Genomic DNA, 24,857 nt, shown 5'->3' on the forward strand with positions numbered 1-24,857 from the left:
CTAGAGAGAACACCTAAGTCATCAAGCAAATTCTTGTTTTGATCATAAAGAAACAGACCTGTGCATTTCACAATTACAACTAGAAAGTCTCAGTACAGTATCCCTGGGTTTCACTGCTCTACTGCAGCAAACCACTGCCCTTCAATTTAACATGCAAGGTCTTTGTCCCCAGTGGGTAACCAGAAGATGCACATCATTGGATCATGATGAGCTGCCTCTCCTTTGACACAGGAAATACATTGAGTTTTTCCCCTTCCATCATGTAACATCATCTGTACAAGTTGACCTATATGTGGCATCTGATGCTTCAAAATAAAGTCTTACAAGACTTACAAGATGGAACACAGTGAGTTTTTCTATTTAATTGAAATTGAGTCTAGGAAAGGAATTCTGGGGGATTTTTTTCCTTTTTCATATCCTACAGAGAGACTTATCTGTGTCCCTTGACACAGCTCAGAGTCTATTTTCACAGGTCTGGAGTTGGCACCCCTAAGTTGGCTTCATCACATCCCAAAAAATGGATTCCAAAACAAATCAACTCAACAGACAGCCTCCTGAAGCTTCTTTTGAGTATGGTGTATTGACCCTAGTTTTCTCACTTCCAAGGCACAAAATTCCATTTATTTATCAGCTATTATCTGAGGTTTCTTCCCCACCTCTCTTGGACAAGCAGTGGGTGGGATGAATGCACCCAAGCTTCTCAGGCAACTGAAACATCACTGTGGATTCGCTATAATCAAATTCCCACCAAGCCGACTTCAGGGTTTACTATGATTATGTCTCCAATAGAGCTTATCTAAATGTGCAGACATAAGTTATGATGTTTTATTTTTTAAAAAGCAGGGCAGCCAATTACAAATCCACTTAAAAAAGAGAGGAAGAGAAAAGAGGAGGAGGAGGAGGAGAAGATGAAGAAAAACATCAATAGCTGTTTTTCTAGGGGAACGGCAATCTAGGTCATGTTTTCTCATTTTTGTACTTCTTTTTGTACTTGTTTTCCAAACTGTCTTGAAAGAACAATGGATTATTTGTACAATGCAAACGTTTGATTTGAAAAAAAATTCCAAGACTTCCATAATCTGAAATTTGTATTTATAACTAAACTACAAAGTATGCATGGTAGTCACTAAATTTCATTTCCTTAATGCAAGTGACTCCTCAAGGAACATGGTTGTTCTTTGTGTTTTCAAAATGGCACACAAAAATCGGTAGGTGCTCTACTCAGCACAATTTCATTGGATTCCTCTAGCTGTCAGAATCTGCAAGGGAAGCTTTTAGCATGAATGGAATTCTAAACAAGACCCAGTATGGTCACACTACCTGTGAATTTAAGAGAAACACCATTGATATGGTTTAGCTCTGTGTCCCAATGCAAATCTCATCTTGAATTGTACTCCCATAATTCCCACATGTTGTGGGAGGGAACTGGTGGGAGATAATTGAATCATAGGGGCAGTTTCCCCCATAGCGTTCTTGTGGTAGTGAATAAGTCTCACGAGATCTGATGGCTTTATCAGGGGTTTCTGCTTTTGCGTATTCTTCATTCTCTCTTTGCCTACTGCTGTCCATGTAAGACGGGACATGCTCCTCCTTGCCTTCTGCCATGATTGTGGGCCTTCCCCAGCTCCAAGGAACTAATCCAATTAAACCTCTTTCTTTTGTAAATTGCCCAGTCTAGGGTATGTCTTCATCAGCAGCGTGAAAAAGGACTAATACAACCATGTTTTACAGGAGTTAGTAAAACCACATCACCCAAGGATGCAAACTTGAATATGAGCCACTAGCCACTGAGTTCACTCATAAATCACAAGGACACAAAGATTATCTGTATAATTCACTAGAGTTAGTTGCTGTAGCTACTAAAACAAGTGGCATCAGAATTGTATGGGAACTGGCTATGATGTCAGTTTGGTTATATTTTTGAATGAATTGCCTTCTAGACAACCAAGGCAGAAAGGCCATCTTGTATCCTTAGCACTATCCTTAACTGTTTTTAACATCTTAAGAGCCACTATTCTAAGAACTGGAAATGTGAAAATTTTCTTTCCTTCCTGATAAGACTTTAAAATATACTAAATATTTTCCTGCTTAAGACAATGAATTTAAAAAATTTTGTCCTGAGGATTCAAATTCATTATTCTAAACCCTGGCCTCTGTGATTTGCTGCAGCTGTAGATGATGAGGGGCACTGAGATGAGTGAGGGTCACTCCCTGTACTGCCCCTGGAAGCTGGGGTCCCATCAAGCCCCTTTAAGTCATCCAGTGTCATCTAGTGGCTGAAGATAATCACTGAACATGGTTAGCACTGAGGCTTGCACAAGCCCTGGTAGAGCTATGTGGCTTCCTTCCATCTGGCATTCACTGTAAAGACAAGCCTAAACCCTCAAGTACACCACACAGCAGATACCAAAACCTCCTCTTACTCCATGACCCCCAAAGTAGAGGCAGGGAGTCAACTTCAAATCTCCTTCACAGCTCTTTTTCTGTTCTTGGCATCTTTACTCTATATAGTACCTGCAAATACTTTTTACTACCTATTTTCTCTCCTCATTTCTGCCTCCTCTCCCATCTCTGCTTCCCTGCAACATGGCTGAACATAGACCCACTTAACCAGTGGGTCTTTTCTCCTGCATCAATCTCAGAGCAGCTGCAGGCATTCTCTGCTGGCTAGGGGGCTGCTGTGCTATGGTGGGAGCACCACTACTCTCCTCCACTACAGTACTCTGCCCAGTGCATCCCTCAGCACTGGCCTCCCTGGACCAGGCTTCTCAAGGCCAGGGACCTCCCATCATCTTTCTTAGAAGAGTTTGTGACACACAGCAGACATGCAATACAGGTGTACTGGATTAATGCAGGATGCATGCCATACAAGGGCATCAACAGCAGCATGGGCAAAGAAGAAAGTTAAAGAGGCCAGATCACAAATGACATATGAGCATAAATATGTCCATACCTGAAGAGACAGATAACCAGTTCAAGGAAGGTAGTGAAACATTTGAGGCTTAAATGATATACACACTTATTTTCCTGGAAAATGGGTAGGGCAAAGGGCAAAGTACCATAGGAATTAGATGACATTTTTCAGTATAAATGGCAGCAGCTACAATTTTTGGAGAGCTAACAGATTAGAGTCACCAGGGATACAGTGTTAAGGTCAACCTTGTCTCGGCCCTCCTTCATCTTATAGGGAAGCTATTAGAAAGAAACAATTAAACAGAGTACTGAATGTTACAAGAGTAGTTCTGAATATTATAGAAATACCTCATAGCACAGACACCTAACTGACTGGAGGAGGGACGCTAGTAAGGCTTGAGCAGGGATAGGATAGAGGAGGGAGAAAGTGTTCCAGGCAGAGGAAACAGATCCATGAAGATCTGGAGGCACCAAAGCATTGGGCAAGGCAGAGCACTTTTTTCAAACTGAAGGTCAAGACCCATTACTGGATTTTGAAATTAGTCTAGTCTTTTATGACCTACATTTTAATAACAATGAAATATGATTAAATAGAAAATCAGTGCAAAGCATGTAAGTACCGTTTTATGAAAGTCATCACAGTGACACATACAATTATATATCATCAGTGACTAGGTTACCATATAAATGTATTTCTTGCTGTGTAGTCCACATTTGAATAATCCTGCATCAGAAAGAACTTTAGTACACATGGAGTGTGAGGACAGGCAGGAAGGACAACTAAGCCTCCCCAAAATATACAAATAAGAATTGCAACTGCTTCACAGAAGAGGTCAAATTGCATGCATGAGGCCACACTGTTTATTACAGATGAAAGGGAGATTTGAACCCAGGGAAGTTTCCCTAAACTACACGGGCTAAGATATCATTATAAATGGATGCTAATAAGCTAAAATTAATATACCAATCCTAAATCCAACCTTTATATATGGGTTTTAGTGCTATGGAAGAAGGGGGACATCTCAGATAAGAAAATATGTCCCTAAATTCCAGGAATAACTGAAAAAAAGACACAGGGCCAACTACAGGAAGGAAAAAGTAAGGGGTCTGGTACATGGTAGGCAATCCTGTTACACCATGTAAGTGTTAGCTGAATTAGATGACTAACCCTCCACGGATATAGTGCCCTATTTTTCTACAGTACTACTTAATAACCATGGAGTGTCTAAAACCCACGTACCGTATGCCACTGTTGTCTTCTTCCCCATCAGATAATTTTCAGAGCAGAGTACACAAAGGCCCTCATATCTGATGAGCTAAACTTCACTTATTATATAAACTAATGTGTGCCTTTTAATGCTAGACAAGTAAGGAAAATTTTCCCTAAGTGGCAGAACATATTATTCAGAATAAGATTTCTTGACATGAACAGAAAATTCCAAGTTCCAAATGTTCTTACCATTACCTAAGAAAATGTGAATAGCAAATAAGAGATGTATAGTGACCACGTTTGAAGAAAAATCTGCAAGTCAGGGTTTATAGGCACTGGCCACCAGTGTTTGTTTAGAAAGCCCCAATATCATTAAAGCCATGTTGACTAGATTAATCCAATTTACTAGACTAATACTGTGTGCTACAAAGACCACACAATTTTACATTATCCTGAATATGCTTTTTTACATCTGCTTATAAATTGACTTTTGGCATCAAGCATTTAAGATGCTAAATAAATGCCAAAAAGGTAACTAAAATAAATGATTAAGAACTAATGCAGGCTGTTTGAACAGGAAAGCAGTAGAGTTCTTTGAAGTATAAAAGAAAGATGACATTGCCTTTACTTTTGCAAAGGCTAAAGTCTTTCCAGGGTCTAAAAGACCACTAAGATGAGAACCAGGGGACCACGTTTGCCACTCATTAGCTGTGTGACTTAAGAAACCCTCCCAATCTCTCTCCGGATTTCCATTTCTGAAAAGGGAGCATGAGCAAGCTGGGCCACTCACAGGCCAAACTGATCTATCACTAAGCAGTGATTCCCACCAAGCCCAACTCTGCAGCAAACTCTGGAGGGAGAGGACATGAGAATAAGAGGCTGTTGTCCCAATTTCTAAGAGCAGAGCTGATGCCCCTACCCCTGGATTTATTTGTGATTTTCCCACTGTCTCATGTCCCCACTAGCGTCTGGGGAAAAAGGTAGTCTTCCCAACATCTTGGACTTCTAGCTCTACAATTCTGTGAATTATAATACTGCAAAACACCAACAGAACCATTTATAGCCCATAGACCTTCATGATCTAGCTGTGAACATTCCCTGTTTGAAGAATAAGTGGATTCCAGATTCAAGGCCTATGAAAAGAATGAATGATATCTGACTAATTGAAGTGTCCATACCAAAGGACTAACTTTCAGTGAGATAAACTTACAGTGAGGCCCTGCTGACATGTGAGTTAACTGGGGCCTTCCTAGGAAGAAACTCAGCCCAGTTAAGTTCTGCTTTACAGAGAACAGAAAGGAGCCAACTCAGAAACCATGATAACCCAAGCTCTACTTTCAAAACAAACACATCGTGACCAACTCAAATCTCTGGCAGAATGCCTTCCAATATCCCTTCTGCAGGTTCACCCACTACATGCAAAGTATGGATTATTTTAAAATTACATTTTGTTTCCACAATTTTAAGGAGAGTTACCATGTGACCCAGCAATTTCACTCCTTGGCATATGACTAAGAAAAATGAAAACATATGTCCACACAAAAAAATTATACGTGAATGTTCATAGCAGCATTCTTCATAATAACTAAAAGATGGAAACAACCTAAATGTCCATCAAACGATAAATGGATAATTGATGAGTGTGGTATATCCATACCATAGATGATTATTTAGCCAGAAAAAAAGAAGAGTACAGATACAACAGGGATGAAAACATTATGGTAAATGAAAGAAGCCAATCACAAAAGACCACATATTATGATTCTATTTACATGAAATGTCCAGAATAGGCAAATACACAGACAGAAAGTAGAACAGCAGTTGCTTAGAGGTTATAGGGGATTAGAGGTGACAGATGAATGGTACGGGGTTTCATTTTGAGTTCACAACAATGTCCTAAAATTGATTTGGTGATGGTTGCACAACTCCGAATACACTGAAAACCACTGGGTTGTACCTTTTAAGTGGGTGAATTGTAGGATATGTAAATTACATCTCACTAGGGCTGTTAAAAAGAAAGTGAACTGGTGAAAGGATTATTAAGTAGAGGGAACGGGTTCACAACTGGTTGCTTTGAAGTCAGAGCCCAGGCCCTGAACACTAGCCTGCGCTGCCTTCTGAAATACAGAGGACCACTCACCATTCACATGCCCAAACCTACACTTACTACTGATCTAACAAAGCAGTGGGACATGTGGGAGCATATGTGATAACTGCCTTCAAGTGGCTTATAGTTTAAAAGCATTGACTGTCAGTAAAGCAAAGACAAAAACTACATGTAAATCATGATAAGGCATAGTGTAGTGCATGCCTTTGCTCTTCTGACAATAATATAGAGTACAGGATATCCTTTATAATATAATATAGACTATAACATATACTACATCGTATCATACAATACAGATAATTCCAAGAGATGGGCTCAAGGGCTGGTCAGATCATATCCATGGAAACTAAGGGATTTATTTCTATTAGAGGGAAAAACCAAACATGCCCCCTAAATGCTGATTAAAATTATTTATAGTCAAAGAAAACACATTTAATTATCCCAGTCACACCCAAAGCAAAGTGGGGGAAATTTTTATGACAATGTTAAATTTTTCCACTTTAATTAAAACATAGGCTTCATATGCTGGATCTGAGGCTTACTTCTAGAATGGGCTTTGCATTAAACATATTTTATTGTGGAAATCTATTTCTTTACCATCGAGGACTGAAATAAGCCTAAAAGGTCACTAAGTTATTAACTTGGTATAGAGAATATACGCTTCAGACTTCATTTTAAAGAGGTTCAGCTACTAAAGTCTGCAAAGGGTCTTAAGACAGGGAGGCAGGACTTTTTCCCAGGAACAATAGGATGAGACTGCCCTTCTTTCTGACACTAGGCCACTACCTCCCCCTTGTGGCCATAGCTAAACCCTCTGGGTCACGGTCCTAGTTTCAAAGTCTCCTTTAGGAGCCTGTGAACAAATACCAGAGAGAAGCTATTATATTTAAAATATTGACAACCATCATTGTGAAGGGCATGGCCAGGCAAAGCTCTCCTAATACTAGCTTCTGTGAGGACTTCACTTGGTCACTTGGTTAACTCTTGATTAACAAGTAAATACTTGGTGTGTCAGGGACTTAAACACAAATCTTCGAAGCTTACCTTAACTTGAACAGAACTGGAGCTACTGCCTATCCTGGGAATTAAACGGGTGAAACTCAGAACAAAATGTTTTTAAACTGGTAGGGCACGGGGCATGGTGTCTGGTTAACTTAGACACTGAATTTAAATTTGGAAGATGAATGGTAAGAAGAAATTACTCGAGATGTATAAAATAGCCAGCACTTGAAAACTGAACTTTCATCACAGAAAGGATGACAACACTTTTAGGGTCATCATTCAGTGTTAGAAAACCTAGTACCATTCCCTGCTTTGCTACAGGTAAAAACAAGAATAACAGAATAACTAAAGTCAGTCTTACTTTAAGACAAACTCTAACTTCCCTTCAAACCTTGCAGCACGATCACTGTTTCATTCTCAGGTAAAATATTCAAACGAGAGCGGTCCTGAGAGTGACTGATGGAATGAGTTAACATGGAGTAAGGTGCACAGGGAGAAGCCTGAATGTGAGATAAATCAGACAACTTTAATGAGGCTTAGCCTAATCAGGGCAATCAGGATCTAAAATACAAACAGCTGGAAGATCTTCATCTACTGCATTTTACATGGAAACCCAGGTAGCAGTACACTAGCATCAGCCTCTTATAACTTAAGGGAACTAAAATTTCAGGACGCTAGCATGGGTGAAGGCATCGGGGAACACCGAGGCTAGCAATAATATAGTTTGACACACCCTGAATGGAGTGACAACAGCTGCCCAGAGTTCTCTGTGATAATGGGGCATACAGACCAAGTCTGGACTCCCAAGGCCAATGTTCCAACACCAATGCCTGCTGAGGGCAGAGGACAAAGGGATTGCGTGCTATTACTACTTCCCACCTTTGTCCCTTGTTAAGTTTGCCATTTCTGGTTTTAGTCTGTCCTGCTCTGTTTACAAATGGAGAACCTGAGCCCAGAGAAATTAATGAAGTTAATATAAGGTCATACAATCAGTCAGTGGTTGACTCAAGGTGAGTTACCAAGTCTATGACTCCATATTTGTACCAACAAGTCTGGACTGGGAGAAGAGAAGGCTCATGTAAGGTTGCCAATCAATCAAAGAGGAAAATGTTAATTGTTTATTCTGAAGAAGCTTTGAAAGACCAGTTTTAGTTCCATAGCAACATTGTCTTAGGAACTTTCACAGAAACTATCCTGTGGTCAAAAACATTCTTCTCCCTTTGCTTTGCAAAAAGGAAGCTGACATTTCCTGCTATAAATCAGTACATCACAACTTATCTCCTGAAACTTTATTAATTGTGGTTAAAAAAGAGAAAATGTGTGAGAGAATGATAGGAACTATGTAAACCTGTCAATGCTCACTTTAGAAATGAAGTCTCCACAGTGGGGAGAGAAAGCTGAAAACTACTTTTCACTTAAATTCCTCCAGGCATCTTAAAGCTTAAAAGAACAAGCTGAGAACGAGAAAATACAATGTAAAGGAAGAGCTACAGGTGCTTACCTGTTCTAATGTAAGTTGCTTAGAAATGGTGTCATTCTCCAGTTTTTTAATTTTCTTCATCAGTTTGTTGACCTGAAATTCCTGCTCTTGTTCAAGATGCTGTTCTAGTTCGGCTTTCTCATGCTGCAACTGGAAAATGAAAAACACCGAGATGTGGAAATCAGGCAACTCAAATGCCATGGAAACACTGGCTCCAAAAGGTGACTATACAAAGAAGCTATACCACAAAAGTTACATTACCCATTTTTGCTCAAATGTGCAAGTATATACCTAGTAATCTGTGCCTAACTGGTTCCTCTAACTTAAAACCAAAAGTCATAGGGAATGGAAATGCAATTTGTGTTTTGCAATATACTTTTTGCTACCTTTCAGGTTTTATACTATAGGCATACAAATAAATTTTTAAAAAATAGAAATTTCATACCAATTTTTATTAAATGAATTGCAGTTTATTCAGATTTGCATCATGTATGTAGACAGAGATGTCAAAATCACAGAACATACTTAGGTAAATTATTCAGAATGCTATTTCCAGTGTACAAGTAAGCATGCCTTCATAAAAATCAGCACAATTATTTTTCCATACAGAGACTGTATGCCACAGTTACTATATATTCCCTAAAAACCAAGAGGGAAAATGTTGGCTGGTCATGGTGGCTCACACCTGTAATCCTAGCACTTTGGGAGGCCAAGGCGGGTGGACCACCTGAAGTCAGGAGTTCAAGACCAGCCTGGCCAACACAGTGAAACTCTGTCTTTACTAAAAATATGAAAGTCAGCTGGGCGTGGTGACAGGCACCTGTAATCCCGGCTACTTGGGAGGCTGAGACAAGAGAATCGCTTGAACCCAGGAGGTGGAGGCTGCAGTGAGCTGAGATAGTGCCATTGCACTCCAGCTTGGACAACGAGAGCAAAACTCTGTCTCAAAAAAAGAATCTTATTCATGCAATTAAAAGATAAGGCTAAGGTGTCATTACCAGAGAAAATTTAAAAACAAAAACAAACCAAACTCCAACCTACAAAACCAAAGGAAAATAAAAGAAATCCAGTGGACCCATAGGGACTTGGGGAGGTTCTCATTAATAATCGCGCGTTATTTTTATAACACTCTCAACTGGGGGGGGGGGGGGTTTGTTGATCCACAGCAGGGGTTGGCCTGATGTTTCAGAATTAAGGGAAAAAAGTAAAAGCTACTAAAAACAATGAAGCACACAAAAGTTTTAGTTTTTGGCTGAATAGGACACTGCTCCCTAATTTTATGTTCAAAGCCATTTCTTTTGGCAGACACTATACACCAGGTTCTTCACATGCATTTAGACAGGCATGGTCACTTCCATTTTATATGTGACAAATCACATTATTAGACTGAAGCAATACAGCTGGAAAGTGGCAGAGCTTGGGACCCAGAACCCCAAACCAGTGCTCTCTCCCGCTGTATCACTGAGCAAAGCCAAGAGAGGTCGCCTTCAGACTGCTCCACCCATGAGCACCTACCACACCCTGTGCACCTGGAAAGCCAAATGATTAAACATAGAAAAAAAGCCACGTATGCTTGCCCAGGGGATGCAACGTTTCTTTGTAAACCCTCCTTAGGGTGGAGTGGACAACTGAGAGCTGAGGCAAGCCTGATCATCCTCAAAATGGCTACAAGTAACACTCTCCACATTTGACAGTGTCCACTGCCCTGAAAACACATACTCAGTTTAAGGAAAAAAAAAATTGTTTTGGCTAGGCGCAGGGGCTCACGCCTGTAATCCCAGCACTTTGGGAGGTCAAGGCAGGTGGATCACATGAGACCAGGAGTTCAAGACCAGCCTGACCAACATGGTGAAACCCTGTCTCTACTAAAAATACAAACAAACAAACAAACAAATAAATAAATAAGCCCGGTGTGGTGGCATGCACCAGCTACTCAGGAGGCTGAGGCAGGAGAATCCCTTGAACCCAGGAGGCAGGGGTTGCAGGGAGGCGGAGGTTGCAGTGAGCCAAGATCACACCATTGCACTCCAGCCTGGGCAACAGAGCGAGACTCTGTCTCAAAAAAGAAAAAAAAAAAAGAAAAAAAAATTTTAATCTGACGTAGTCTTCCAACACTGGAAATATTGACTAAATAGATGCTGTTTTCCTTCCAACTGTTTTTGATGTTCAAGGCCAAAAATAACCTCGTCAATCTTGCAGGGACCCAAGAGAAAAGCAGGTGTAAGGAGGTGCTTACAGTGACAAGTCTATATTTAGCTAGCTCTTTAAAACTCAGGTTCTGCAAGACCAAGCAGCAATTAAAAGAACTAAGACGAATGAATAGAGAACAAGAAGAGTTCCCAGCACTTTCGACAAAAAGAACCCAATGAAACAAGCATCGCTTAGGAGGAAAAATATAGCAAAGCATGTTCATCTGCGCCTAAGGCTTTCATTCAGTAAGCGTGCTGTGCTGTCTTCTATCTGCAGGTACTATGAGAATGGTAGGCGAGATCTATAGTTAACATATCATCCTTGCTCTAAAAATAGTTATGAACACTAAGCTTTAACAGTATCTACTAGTTATTGAGAGATGATAAGCTTAAGTCTTAAAACCTTTAAACTATTTGCATAGCTTTTTTAATATAGTAGCTATGTTTTCCTCCAATATGTTTTCAACTGCTGCCATTTTTATTTGAAAGAACCCTTCTTTTTTCTCAACATTATGCCTCTGCCCTGAGGTAAACTAAAACAATAAAGGATGTAATCTAACATTGAAAAATCTCTTGCCCACCAAGCAGCGTTTGTCATAGAATGTTGTAACATCTGAGGAAAGGCAAGGCTCTCACTGGCTTGCAGGAAAATATCCATATTTAGACAGATGGTCTAACACTGTCAGTAGCTTTAGGTACTTCCTTTAAGACTATAGATTGAACTAGTAACAAAGCCTAACAGAGCTCTCAATTTTAGGAGGCATTTTCCTCTCAAGAGCTGTACCCTAAGGAAAATTTGATGGTAAAGCTGTCATTACCAGAACTCAAGTAAGGTCACTGGGTTACACTAACCCATTTGGAAAATATCAAGCCATTCTGAGATCTAACTCTGTTTGCTAAAGATTCACAGTTTTTATCATCCCCCAAAGACAGTGCTAAAACAAACAGTTCTGCTGCCTGCTTTGTTCTGCCACCTCAGGTGACATGCAACAGAAGCAGAGCATGGAGTTCCTGAACAAAGACTAGAAACAGAAAATATAGTTCTTCCTGGAACAAAGAAACTGCCAATAAAAAGAGAAACACGGCCAGGCACAGTGGCTCATGCCTATAATCCCAGCACTTTTAGAGGCCGAAGCAAGAGGATCGCTTGAGCCCCAGAGTTTGCGACCAGCCTAGGCAACAGAGTGAGGCTCTGTCTCTACAAAAAAAGATTAGCTGGACACGGTGGTGCGCGCACCTGTAGTCCCAGCTACTCAGGAGACTGAGGTGAGAGGACTGCTGGAGCCCAGAAGGTCAAGGCTGCAGTGAGCATGAGTGCACCCCTGCAATCCAGCCTGGGTGACAGACTGCGACCCTGTCTAAAAAAAAAAAAAAAAAAAAAAGCTTGCTTGAGAGAAGCACAGAAGCACCTCAGTCCCCTAAAATCATGAGACAAGGGTTAAGATGAGCAAGAGGTAGGAGGCAAATGTGTGCATAGGGACCTTGAAGGACTAATAACTACAGAACTTGCCTCATATAGTTTGTCTAAGAAAAATTCAGATATTCTCTTTTAAACAGATACCATGTAAATTCAAGCAACGTGGCTCCAATAGGGTTTGAACCAACACCCTGAATTGACCTGCCTATTTTAAAGCTATAGCTCATGGCACCACAGACGTAAAAACCCTGGGAAGCCTGGTGCAGGGTGACTCAAGACTAGCTGTCAGTTTCACCTCTGATGCCCATCTTCAATATGGGCAAACTTTTCTAGGCACGACTTTAAATTTATAATCATAGGTCTTAATGTACTGTTACATGAACAATTTTAAATCTTCCAATAAAGTCAAAGATCCTGAACTAGAACAAGAATTATTCCATCTAATAATAATCAAGCATATTAATTAATATTTTGAAATGATACTTATGTGTCTGCCTTAAATATATATAAAGCTAAATGCCTAGGCAGATTAAATGGCTTTTTTCAAAAATCAATTTTCAACAAATACATTTTTTATATAAAGTCAATCTCAAAGATTATGGAACAGTTTTATAACCCTTATTTGTGCTATATGTTAACACTAATAAAAATATCCCTGTGGAATCAGAATCACATAACAATGATCCCTCAGCAGATCACATTTTCAACGGAATTAGGGTTATATAAATAAAAGTTTGTTCCTTGGGATACAAAAAGAAAAATATATTAACAGAACTGAAAAGGGCATAAATGAAAATGCAACTATATGCTCAACTATAAATCAGTATAATTTTAAATTCTAAGTCCTAAAGCAAGCATTTTCTTGTATCATCCACTGATTAGATATATAGTCTCAAAGCAAACTTCCAGCCCAATGAAATACACAAGTGTAGCATTAATTTGATCTTAAGCAGGCTAGCCTTAAGCATCATCCAATTACCAATAATTGTTGTGCTTATAATTTACAAAGGATTTCTGGAACCACTTCAATGAACCAGGCCTTTTACATAATAGATTCAAGAACTCTGCACCAAATGACTTTTTTCTCAATAAATTCTTTCTAGCAGGTAGAGGCATTGAAAATCATTTACCTGGGAGAACCTCCTCCAATAGGTACCACAGGTGCATGTGCACGCTGGATGCTGAGAGCACCTTCCCACCCAACATGCAGCAGGTTTGCTGGATCCTAGGTTTTGTAAAATGTCAATGTGCAGGTCTGGGCTTGTTGTCAAGTCAGTCCTTGCCAACCGAAGCAAGGCTTCTAGCCACTACCTCTAGGACCCAGCTTTTTCAAGACAACTTAAGAATAAACCAGGCCAGGCGCAGTGGCTCAAGCCTGTAATCCCAGCACTTGGGAGGCCGAGGTGGGCAGATGACCTGATGTCAGGAGTTTGAGTCCAGCCTGGCTAACATGGTGAAACCCTGTCTCTACCAAAAATACAAAAAAATTAGCCAGGCGTGGTGGCATGTGCCTGTAGTCCCAGCTACTCAGGAGGCTGAGGCAGGAGAATCACTTGAACCTGGGAAGTGGAGGTTGCAGTTAGCCGAGATCGCACCACTGCACTCTAGCCTGGGCAACAAGAGTGAGACTCTGTCTCAAAAAAAAAAAAAAAAAAAAAAAAGAAAGAAGAAGAAGCTTGAGAGGCCCCCAGCTTTGTTTTCACTAGTCAACTAATATCTGTTACCCACAGTACCACAACTAACATCCCTGGTTTATTGAAAATTACCAAGGAATGGAGCTACCTGCATTGGACCAAGTAAAGGCCACCCCAGGACAATAACTGCATTAAGCCATTAGACTGTCAAAAGCAATCATAATGTTATTAATATGAGCTTTGGAAAAAAGCTCAAAAATCTCTCTCAGAACATAGAAAGTCTCTCAAGAACCGACTTGTCAGCTGTGCTACTGAGCAGAAATTCAGACTCCCACTTCAAACTCAGTACTTCATCACTAAGGGCTTCTTGGGCCCACACTTATTCCCACCTCCTCCCCTTCTGTTACTGGTACCAGTATTCTGGGTCAATGCCTCACATCTCATGAGTTACCAAGGCCCATGAAGTCAGCCTCCATAACAGCTGTCACACACACACACACTCTCCTTTGTGTGTGCCATGTGCTCATGGCCCCAGTCTGGTTCAGGCCTTTTATTCCTTTTCCTTTGGGCTACTGCCAAAACCTCCTACTGGATCTCCCCAGGTCCACTGTAGATCATCCTAGCACAAGTCCTATTACTTCAATGTCCTGCTCAAAACTCTTCAATGGCTCCCTACTACCTGTGGACTAAGTCCAAACTCACTGGCATAACATTCAAGTCCTTCCATGATCCAATCCCTATGCAAGCTTCCCACGCCTTCCTCATACTATTTTCACACTACTCAGTTGATGTGACAGTCCAAGGTTTGCAAGCATAAATGCCTTCAGGGTTCATGCATGCAGCAAACAAAGAATGGATGGGTGTAAGCCAGGGAGTGGTAGCTATTGTGGTTAAAGGAAAAGCTCATGTCCTTTTCTGACTCTTGAAAAGAAAATCCCATCATGCCAACCAAACACTTTTGGTGACCATACTGGTCCGGGGCTTCTAGATCACAATACTTGCTAGTCATGCCAGATCACTCTTACAGAAACCATGCCACTCACTCTGCCCACATGCCCCACTCATGCTGTGCCTCTGCCTATAGGGTCTGAATCCCTCCCCTCAATTTACCAAGACTAGGGGATAGCATAAAAGACTTCCCCAATGCTTTCCCACAGGCCCTCAGCATAATGTGCACTCACCCTCCTTTAAGGGGTGAGAAGCACATTGTCATTCAAGTGCATTTTGATGTCCATTTCATGATGTGTTTCTGTATCTTTTCCATCAGCTACTTCTAAAGGCAGCTAATGCTTCAGGGCGATTACTACGTCTCAAGCACTTTATATACACGAACACACTTGATGGTTGAATCTTCATAACTCTACAGTAGAAACTGTTATCTGCATTTTGCAAAGAGTGAAATCACAGCTTAAAGGAATTAGGTGATCTGCCTGAAATTTCACACGTAAAGGGTAAATCCAGGGTTCAAACTGAGGTCCTTGGCTTCAAAGCCTTTGCCCTCATCTCTGATGTGTGCTGCCATCCTAGAACACCTGGGTACATTCTCAATCACTCTTTACAGGATTGAAAGCTCTAAGAAGGGCAGTGACTAGGATTTCCTTGATCCTACTCCAAAACATAGAAAATACATTGTGAATGCAAATACTGATTGAATAAATGATAACGTCCTCACTTCATATGGACTGTTTGCTCTAGATTAAGCCTGAGGATAAGCAAAACAACGGTTGGGGGTGGGGTGGATTAATCAAGATCTAGGACATTACCCATATATCATGGTCTGCCCCAAAGCCCCTGTTTCTCTTCCTGTTTATAGCCCCTCTCCAACTCCTAGACATAATCAATATCCTAATTCTTATGGTATTTACTTCCTTACATTTTTCCTAAAGTTGTTTTTTTAAACAACCTATGTATTCATTTACTTCCAAACATTGGTCTTGCTAGGTTTTGCATTCTTTCATATCCAGCTTCTTCTGCTAAATGAACTTGTTACTCATTGTGGTTTGTATTTTCATTGCTTCACAGTATCCAGCTATTTATACCACAGTCTATCCTCTCGACGGATGACAGGCATTTGGGTCATTTCTTTTCATTTATTTATTTTGAGACAGAGTCTCACTCTGTCGCCAGGCTGTAGTATAGTGGCGTGATCTTGGCTCACTACAACCTCCGACTCCCTGGTTCAACTGATTCTCCTGCCTCAGCCTCCCGAGTAGCTGGAATTACAGGCATGTGCCACCACACCCAGCTAATTTTTCTATTTTTAGTAGACACGGGGTTTCACCATGTTGGCCAGGCTGGTCTCAATCTCCTGACCTCGTGATCCCCCCACCTCGGCCTCCCAAAGTGCTGGGATTACAGGCATGAGCCACCATGCCTGGCCATTTCTAGTTTTTTATCATGATCAATGGCACAAAGAACATTCTTCTACATATCTGGTACACAGGTACATGTAATATGATATATACCCAGGAGAGAAACCACTGGGTCATAGAGAATAAGTATTTCCAACTTAATTAGGTACTACCAAATTGTTTTCAAATGCGTGTAATGATTTCAATTTTCTATCTGCAGTACATAAGAATTTATTAGTAGTCTGTTTAAATCATTTGCCATTTTTCCTCTGGGTTGTTTGCTTTCTTACTGATTTATAGTTCTTTGTCATTACATATGGTGCATATCTCTTCTCCCATTCTGTGGTTCATCCTTGCGTTTTCCTTATGATATGTCTCTGGTCCTCTCCTCTGGGCACACCTCCTGAGTAACAGCATTAATTTCCATGGGAATAAATAATTTCTAAAGAAAACACTCCCAAATTTATATCTCTAGCCCAGACTTCTCTGTTGAGAGTCAGAACCTCTGTCCCACTGCCTTGTCTGTTCTCTCCATATGGAAGCCCAGACATTGCAATTGAACTTCTGACCTTCTTACTCCAAACATACTCCACTTGCTGTCTTTTCCATCTTAAATGATGGTAACTATTCTTCCAGTCATTAAGACTCAAACCCCTAAGTCTTTCTTGATCCTTTTTTTCTACACCACTTCTAATCCATCCACAAATCCTATGAGGTTATTTCTTCAAAATGTACCCAGAATCCAAAGTTTACCATCTTCAGTACTACTTCCTGAATAATCCACTCCATCTCTTGGCATGTATTACAGAATATCCTTCTAATATGCATTGCTCCCACCTTGGCCCCCAATCCATAATCTCTTCATGACACAGCAACCAAAGCAATCATTTTAAGAGCTATGTAGGATCATTTTGCTACTCTGCTCAAAACCCTGTGGTGGCTCCTCCCATGCAGAATAAAAGCCAAAGTGCAGACAGTGGCTCCCAAACCTCTATCATATCAAGCCTCCAGACCCATTACCTCCCAATTTCATCTATCACTCTTCTCTCCCCATGACGTCAATCTAACCACACCAGTCTGTCTGCTGCTTCTCCAACATGGCAGGCACAATCTTACTTCAAGGCCTTAGCACTTTCCTATTCCTTCTGCCTACAATACTCTTCCCACAAAAATCTATTTGGCTAGCTTCTTCTCCCAGATTTTGCTTAAGTATTACCTCAATGACTTGAACTTACTTAGAACTTCAACTGTCCCTATGCCCTTTACAGTGTTCTATATCTTTCCATGGCACTTAATTCCTTCTCTTGGTTTTTGATGCTTTCATATTTTCACATTTAACTTCTTATTGCTGGTACACAGAAATACAATTTTTCATATGAGAAAACAGAATTCTAATCACTTACCTGTAGATTCTTAAGATTTAAAAGTTTTCCACTTACACAATAATAAGTAAATGGCAGTATTAGTTCCTCCTTTCAATCCTTACATCTTTTTCTTGCCTTTCTGCACTGGCTAGAAATCCACGACAACAATCAATATAGGTAAATGCAGCAGGCATCCGTGTCTTGTTTTTTTTGTTTGTTTTTTTTTTTTGAGACGGAGTCACTCTGTCGCCCAGGCTGGAGTGCGTTGGCGTGATCTCGGCTCACTGCAAGCTCTGCCTCCTGGGTTCAGGCCATTCTCCTGCCTCAGCCTCCCGAGTAGCTGGGACTACGGGCGCCTACAACCACGCCCGGCTAATTTTTTGTAATTTTAGTAGAGATGGGGTTTCACCACGTTAGCCAGGACGGTCTCGATCTCCTGACCTCATGATCCGCCAGCCTCAGCCTCCCAAAGTGCAGGATTACAGGTGTGAGCCACCGCGCCCGACCCCATGTCTTGTTCTTGATTTTAAAGGGAAAGTTAACTTTTCACAATCAAACACAATGGTTTGGGCAGCCTTTTTGTAAACACTTTATTTATGTTTGAGATGGAGTCTCCCTCTGTTGCCCAGGCTAGAGTGCAGTGGTACGATCTTGGCTCAATGCAACCTCTGCCTCCTGGTTCAACTGATTCTCCTGCCTCAGCATCCCGAGTAGCTGGGACTACAGGCGTGCACCATCACACCCCACTAACTTATTTTTGGTACTTTTAGTAGAGATGGGGTTTTACCATGCTGGTCAGGCTAGTCTTGAACTCCTGACCTCAAATGATCTGCCCATCTCGGCCTCCCAAAGTGCTAGGATTACAGGTGTGAGCCACCGTGCCTGGCCTATGTAAACACTTTTTTAAAAAGTCAGGTTTCAGTTCTATTCTTAGTTCACTAATTTTTATCATGAATTGTTACACTTTATCAAATCCTTTCTCTCCATCTATTAACATGATCATGACTTTTTCTTTTTATTCTGTGAATGTGGCAAATTACACTTACTGATTTTCTACTGGTAAACTAAACTTGCATTTCTTGTATAAACCCAGCATGGTCATGGTGCATTGTCCTTTTAATATATTGCTGACTTCATTTACTTATATTTTGTGTAGGATTTTTGCTCATGATTGAGGCTGTAGTATAATTTGCCTTTTCTGAACTACACTTAAGTTTGAGCTTTGAAGGTTATGTTACCCTTAAAATATGTTGGGGACCCATTTTTTTCCCTTTAGAATTTATGGAAGACAATTTTTTTTTTTTTTTTTTTTTGAGACAGAGTTTTGCTCTGTCACCCAGGCTGGAGTGCAGTGGCGCAATCTCAGCTCACAGCAAGCTCCGCCTCCCAGGTTCACGCTATTCTCCTGCCTCAACCTCCCGAGTAGCTGGGACTACAGGCACCTGCCACCGCCCCCGGCTAATTGCTTGTATTTTTAGTAGAGACGGGGTTTCACCGTGTTAGCCAGGATGGTCTCGATCTCCCGACTTCGTGATCCACCTGCCTCGGCCTCCCAAAGTGCTGGAATTACAAGCGTGAGCCACCACACCCGGCCTTTTTTTGTATTTTTAGTAGAGATGGGGTTTCACCGTGTTAGCCAGGATGGTCTCGATCTCCTGACCTCGTGATCTGCCCGCCTCAGCCTCCGAAAGTGTTGGGATTACAGGCGTGAGCCAACGCGCCCGGCCAGAAGACAAATTACTTTATCCTTGAATGTTTGGTACAACTCTCAATGAAACCATTTGGACCTGGAATTCATTGTTTATGAAGGCTGTTGATCTCTAATTCAATTTCTTTACGGGACAGAAGACAGTTTTCTTTTTCTTCCTCAGTCAGCTGGAGAAAGTTACGTTTTTCTAAGAATTTGTCCACATCATATAAATTTCAAACGTATTGCCCTATAGTTATTCATTAGTTTTTCACTTAACATTTGAATGTCTACAAGAAAAGTGATATGTTTCCAGTTTCCTGCCAAAGATTTCAAGGTTGGCTTTTACTTCTCTGAGTATAGTAAGCATGGTTGCTTTATAGTATACGCCCGGTAATTCCAATATTTGAAGAATCTGCGAAGTCCATTTCTTTTATTTCTAGTCACTTACATTCATGGAATCTCATATCTTCATGTGCATGGATCTTTAACTGTGGGCTGAATATTGTATTTGAAAATTTATCAGCAGGAGAAGCTTGTAGCCTAGGATGATAGTAACTTGCTCCAGAAAATTCCATCTCCTTTGGCTAAGCACCATAAGTCTGGGTTTACCTTAATCCAAAATCAAAGCCTTGTGTCTCTCATTTACCCAGCTGATGCAAAACTAGTTCACTCTTAGTCTAAGCATGCAGCCCTTCATGATTCCAGCTTGAGGTAGGGTTGACTGATCACTCTCTCTAAACTTTGACCAAAAGCAATCAACTGACTTCTGCAGCCCCAGCTCCATACAACGACCAAAACCACAATTTACTATCTCAGGTGTTTTTCTGGATGAATTCCAAGTGCCCTCTGAATAAAAGCAGCCTTGGGTGCTTCGTTCCCACCTTCCTTCAGATCTCTGCCCAACAGTTCTTCACCATCATGTTAATTATTTAACAAAGAAGGATTTTGTTAAGCTTTTGTTTATCTTCAGTGAGGTATGTCTGAGTGATCTAATCTGCTATTTTCTACAGGAAAAGCCACAATATAACTTTTATAAAGAGAAAAAATAGCTACGTTCTTCCAGAAATTAGTTATTTGTTATTTTGATTCCTTGTTAGCAACACTGAGGACCAGAGTCAGGCCCTCACTTCTGAGCAGATGGCTTCAGGATAATATCAGACTTCCTATCTACTTGGGTATATATCTAAAGGGTTAAGTTTGAGTTTCCTGGATTTCCAGGAGCATGATGCCACTAAAAGCATTAACATCTTTAAAAAAAATCTGGTTAGGAGGAATATTAAAAAAAAAAAAAAGCTCCATGGAAAAGATTTTTAAAGTCCTTGCAGGGCACGGTGGCTCATGCCTGTAATCCAGCACTTTGGGAGGCTTAGGCAGGCAGATCACTTGTGGTCAGGAATCCAAGACCGGCCTGGCCAACATGGTAAAACCCTGTCTCTACTTAAAAAAAAAAAAAAATACAAAAATTAGCTGGGCTAGTTAAAATTAGCCCAGTTACTCAGGAGGCTGAGGCATGAGAATCACTTGAATCACTTGAGCCCAAGAGACGGAGGTTGCAGTGAGCCAAGATCATGCCAGCCTGGGCAACAGAGACTATCTCCAAAAAAAAAAAAAAAAAGAGAGAGAGAGAGAGAAAATCCTTTAGGCTCTGGCATATTGAAAAATCCATTTTGTAAAAACTGGCATTTTCTCCTGAGGAAGAAAGAGTGTTTAGCCCAAAGAATTCATTCTAAGCTGAGGCATTATTGAAAATTACAATGAAAGGTCTCATCTTTCTTACCAAGTTTATGAGTGGAGGAAATAGGAAGGTGAGGACAGCAGCAGGATATAACTCCGTATTTTAAAGTAATTACTGACTGGGCTGACTGTAAATTGTTTAAAAATGAAATGCAAAACATTGTAACATTTAGAACTACAAAGTTTTAAAGTTATTTTAAAACTGTTCCTAGTGATAGCTAGGGTCCATCGATAGTGGGGCCTAGTATCCTTCAATAGACAAGATTTACCTTTCCAACTAGAAATAACAATATTTCTCCCATCTACTTTGGTAAATAAAGCAAGTTTAACTCCAGCTTCACCTAATTATTTTTATCTTTCTTTTCTTCTACCTTTGTTTTTCCCCTCTATCTACTTTTTCTCACATTTTATGTCAAAAAAGTCAGGATAGGAAGCTTCTGAGCCCTTACTTTTGCCCCTATGGGTTTTTTTTTTTTTTTTTTTTTTTGGGATGTTAGCACATCACATCTAGCCATAACCTTAGTACATGCACATGTGCACACACACTTTAAAAGAAACTCAGTAATTTCAACACTGAAGAACTACTTCAGTTTTATTGTATTATCTACTCATAACAAATTACATTGCAATGAGAGATTTTTGCCATGCTACTAACAGAATTCTGGCTTATAATTTGGCCACTGGTGGCTGTAGCATAAAATGCATTAAAAACAACTCAGTAGCTCTTTGTAGGCATACTGTGAATGCAATGTGTGAACCTCTTGCTCCTGAAAAGATCAGACAAAGCTGAGGTTCAGGTAATTTGGAATGAAAACAATAAGAAAAAGCTCTGTTCTGTTTTGAAAGCTATTTTGTGATAGCAAATTTCTCTGATCAGTATTAAGGGCCCTGAAAAACAAGCCAGGAGGGCCACAGATCTAGTCATCTAAATATAAAGGACATACTTCATTTAGATCTCTCCCCTAACACAGGGAGAACCAAGGTTTCATCTGAATGGATGCAATGGTGTCATAGTCTTGGCGCCTTTGAAATTAACTAAATGATATTTCATACATTATTTATCAGCTTGACATGTGATTTTGCTCCTTGCATAAACAAAATAATTTCATTGCCAACTTAGTGGCTTCGGAAACTTGAAGGGGAGCGAGGGTGAAGAGGATGCTTCAGATTCTAGTGTACATCCTGGAAAAGAAGAGAATTGGGAGTCTATACTCACTTCCTTTGCCTGCAGAAATGTCATGCTACTCAGAAAAAGAGTCTTTCAGGGGTTAAGTAAGCATACACTCTAGAAAAAAAAGAATCCAGTAAAATGGTATTAGGAGAAACCACTTCTCCAGAATTGACAGGACAAGTGAAAGAAGGCAAATGAAGTGCTAAGCCCTTTGTCCAGATGAACAGGCAGATCTGGAGACCTAGAAATTCTTCTTCCCAGTTTTATTTCTGTGTAAATGAGATAGAAGAATAATTCTGTTGCATGATATCCTTCTGAACTGCTCAGCTATAAATCATTTGGCAGAGGTAGTTTCAGCAGTTTTGCCCACAACTTCCTTCCTGTCCTCTCTCATCTTTCCATAGATGCTAGGAAAACTCCAACTATTTTAGTTCCAGGAAGCATTCTTACCTCAGGAGCCAAGTCAATAATAATAAAAATAAGCCGTATCATCTTAATAAGAGATCCAGGACTTTTCTTCTTAAGTATTTCAAACCATCAATGTGCCCCCTATTAGGATATGGCTACAATAATTTTTATTATAGTTAGAGCAGCATTATTTTCTCAGAATCAGATCCTATTTCAAATGTGAATTGAAAGTACCGTACTACAAATCTATTGATTATTTTAAGGTCTGAAATTTGCAAGCTGGATTAGATTGAAAAGATTAAGATATATGTAATATGCAGTACTCTTCCTACCCCAGTTGTAATCTATGGTTAAAAAAACAGTTTATTAACTTTTGGTAGTGGTATTTGTTGAGAAAAGTGTAGACAATCCAGAACAAGCTGAGTGTGCTCCCAAAGAGCAGAAAGCCAAGTTGATGCTTTGGCCCTGCATAAAAGCAGGTGGGAAAATCCACAATTGCTAAAACCATGATCAATCTCAGTGTCTGAGATAATTGATAAGTCTTCCAGTAGGCATTTGTGATTGGTGGTTAAGAGTTTGCCAGGGGAATTAGAAAATTTTTTTTTTTTTGAGACGGAGTCTCGCTCTGTCTCCCAGGATGGAGTGCAGTGGCGCTATCTCGGCTCACCACAAGGTCCGCCTCCTGGGTTCACGCCATTCTCCTGCCTCAGGCTCCCAAGTAGCTGGGACTACAGGTGCCTGCCACCACGCCGGGCTGATTTTTTTGTATTTTTAGTAGAGACAGGGTTTCACTATGTTAGCCAGGATGGTCTTGATCTCCTGACCTCGTGATCCGCCCGCCTCGGCCTCCCAAAGTGTTGGGATTACAGGCAGGAGCCACCGCGCCAGGCCTAGAAATTTTTTTTTAAATGAAAAGAAGTTTTACAATAGAGGACTAGTGGAGTGAATCATACAAAGACTGACAAGACAGTTAGGCTAATCATTAGAGCATTCTGATTATACTAGTTCTTAATGATGTGGGCAGTCAAGAATCTCCTGTCACTTGCAAATGAGCCTGACTCTGCAGGGGGGTTCAGTGCACTGCTGCCCATGACAAAGAGATGCTACTAGCATAGCAGGACTCTGAGCTCTCTAAGTCAAAGAAACAGAAGGAGGTGGTTTCAAAAGGTAAGGACAAACCAGGCATCACAATTTTTAAATTTCCTTTTCAAGAAATAAGATGTTTTCTAGTTACAAAAGTATCATGTTGCTGTTTCAGAATTAGAAGGACTAGGGCACAAAGAAAATAACATAACCTATAAGTTCAGCACCCAAGTATAATTACTCTATAACATTCTGGAGAATAGCCTTTTAGACTTTTTTTTTTTTTTTTTTTTTTTTACCCCTAATGTACATGTTATACAGCAGGTCCTCAAATAATGTCATTTCACTAAAACGTTAATAGGGAGTGGAGTTGATTCCCCCACTGGGGCCACTGTCTGTGTGGATTTCCTGTGTTCTCCCCACGTCTATGCGGGTTTTCTCCAGGTACTCCAGCGCCCTCCCACATCCCAAAGATGTGCACAACATGTTAACTAGCATTGTTTAAATGGTTCCAGTCTCAGCCAGTGTGAGTGAGTGTGCCCGTGTGCCCTGCGATAGAATAGATCCTGCCCAGGGCAGATTTCCGCCTTGTAACCTAAGCTACCCAGAACTGCCAAGACAGGTTCTGGCCACCTATGACCCTAAACTGGAATCACTGGGTAAGTAATTTTCTTACTTGTTCTTAACTAATCTCTTTTAAAGTATACATAGCTCAGTTTATTTTAATGTGTAACATTTAAAGTGTTTGGGGTCTTTATTTGGAAGTTTGGTGATGTTTTCGTGACCAGAAATATGCAGTAGGAACTTAACTCTTGTTTGTATCAATTAGTCTCTGGTAAAATTAGATTCATTGGCCAGGTGCAGTAGCTCACACCTATAATCCCAGCACTTTGGGATGCCAAGGCATGCAGATCACTTGAGGTCAGGAGTTCAAGACCAGCCTGGCCAATGTGGTGAAACCCTGTCTCTACAAAAATACAAAAATTAGCTGGGCATGGTGGTGGGTGCCTGTAATCCCAGCTACCTGGAAGGTGAACTGAGATCGCACCATTGCACTCCAGCCTAGGTGACAGTCTCAAAAATAAACAAATAAGATTCATTATA

At 40.6% G+C, this 24,857-nt stretch overlaps 1 protein-coding gene across 1 annotated transcript in view, besides 2 other annotated features; it reads right to left on the reverse strand.

Moving 5' to 3' along the window:
* The window catches only part of CCDC6 (coiled-coil domain containing 6), a 117,810-nt gene that overhangs the window by 35,045 nt on the left and 57,908 nt on the right, over positions 1 to 24,857 (reverse strand). Inside the window, exon 3 of the mRNA NM_005436.5 lies at positions 8,734 to 8,862. Within this exon, the coding sequence (NP_005427.2) occupies positions 8,734 to 8,862 (129 nt within the window). The remainder of the gene's footprint in view (positions 1 to 8,733; positions 8,863 to 24,857) is intronic.
* Positions 8,700 to 8,994: a silencer, noted in NCBI's record as "tiled region #6982; K562 Repressive non-DNase unmatched - State 14:Gen5'". NCBI's record gives its function as "represses a minimal TATA promoter and a strong SV40 promoter by Sharpr-MPRA in K562 cells {active_cell/tissue: K562}" and the evidence as "EXISTENCE:reporter gene assay evidence [ECO:0000049][PMID:27701403]".
* Positions 23,830 to 24,770: an enhancer, noted in NCBI's record as "OCT4-NANOG-H3K27ac-H3K4me1 hESC enhancer chr10:61607379-61608319 (GRCh37/hg19 assembly coordinates)". NCBI's record gives its function as "activates a minimal SCP1, AML or CMV promoter by ChIP-STARR-seq in naive H9 embryonic stem cells {active_cell/tissue: H9 hESC(naive)}" and the evidence as "EXISTENCE:reporter gene assay evidence [ECO:0000049][PMID:30033119]".

Source organism: Homo sapiens, chromosome 10 (genome assembly GCF_000001405.40).
Source record: "Homo sapiens chromosome 10, GRCh38.p14 Primary Assembly".
Taxonomy (NCBI): Eukaryota; Metazoa; Chordata; class Mammalia; order Primates; family Hominidae; genus Homo; species Homo sapiens.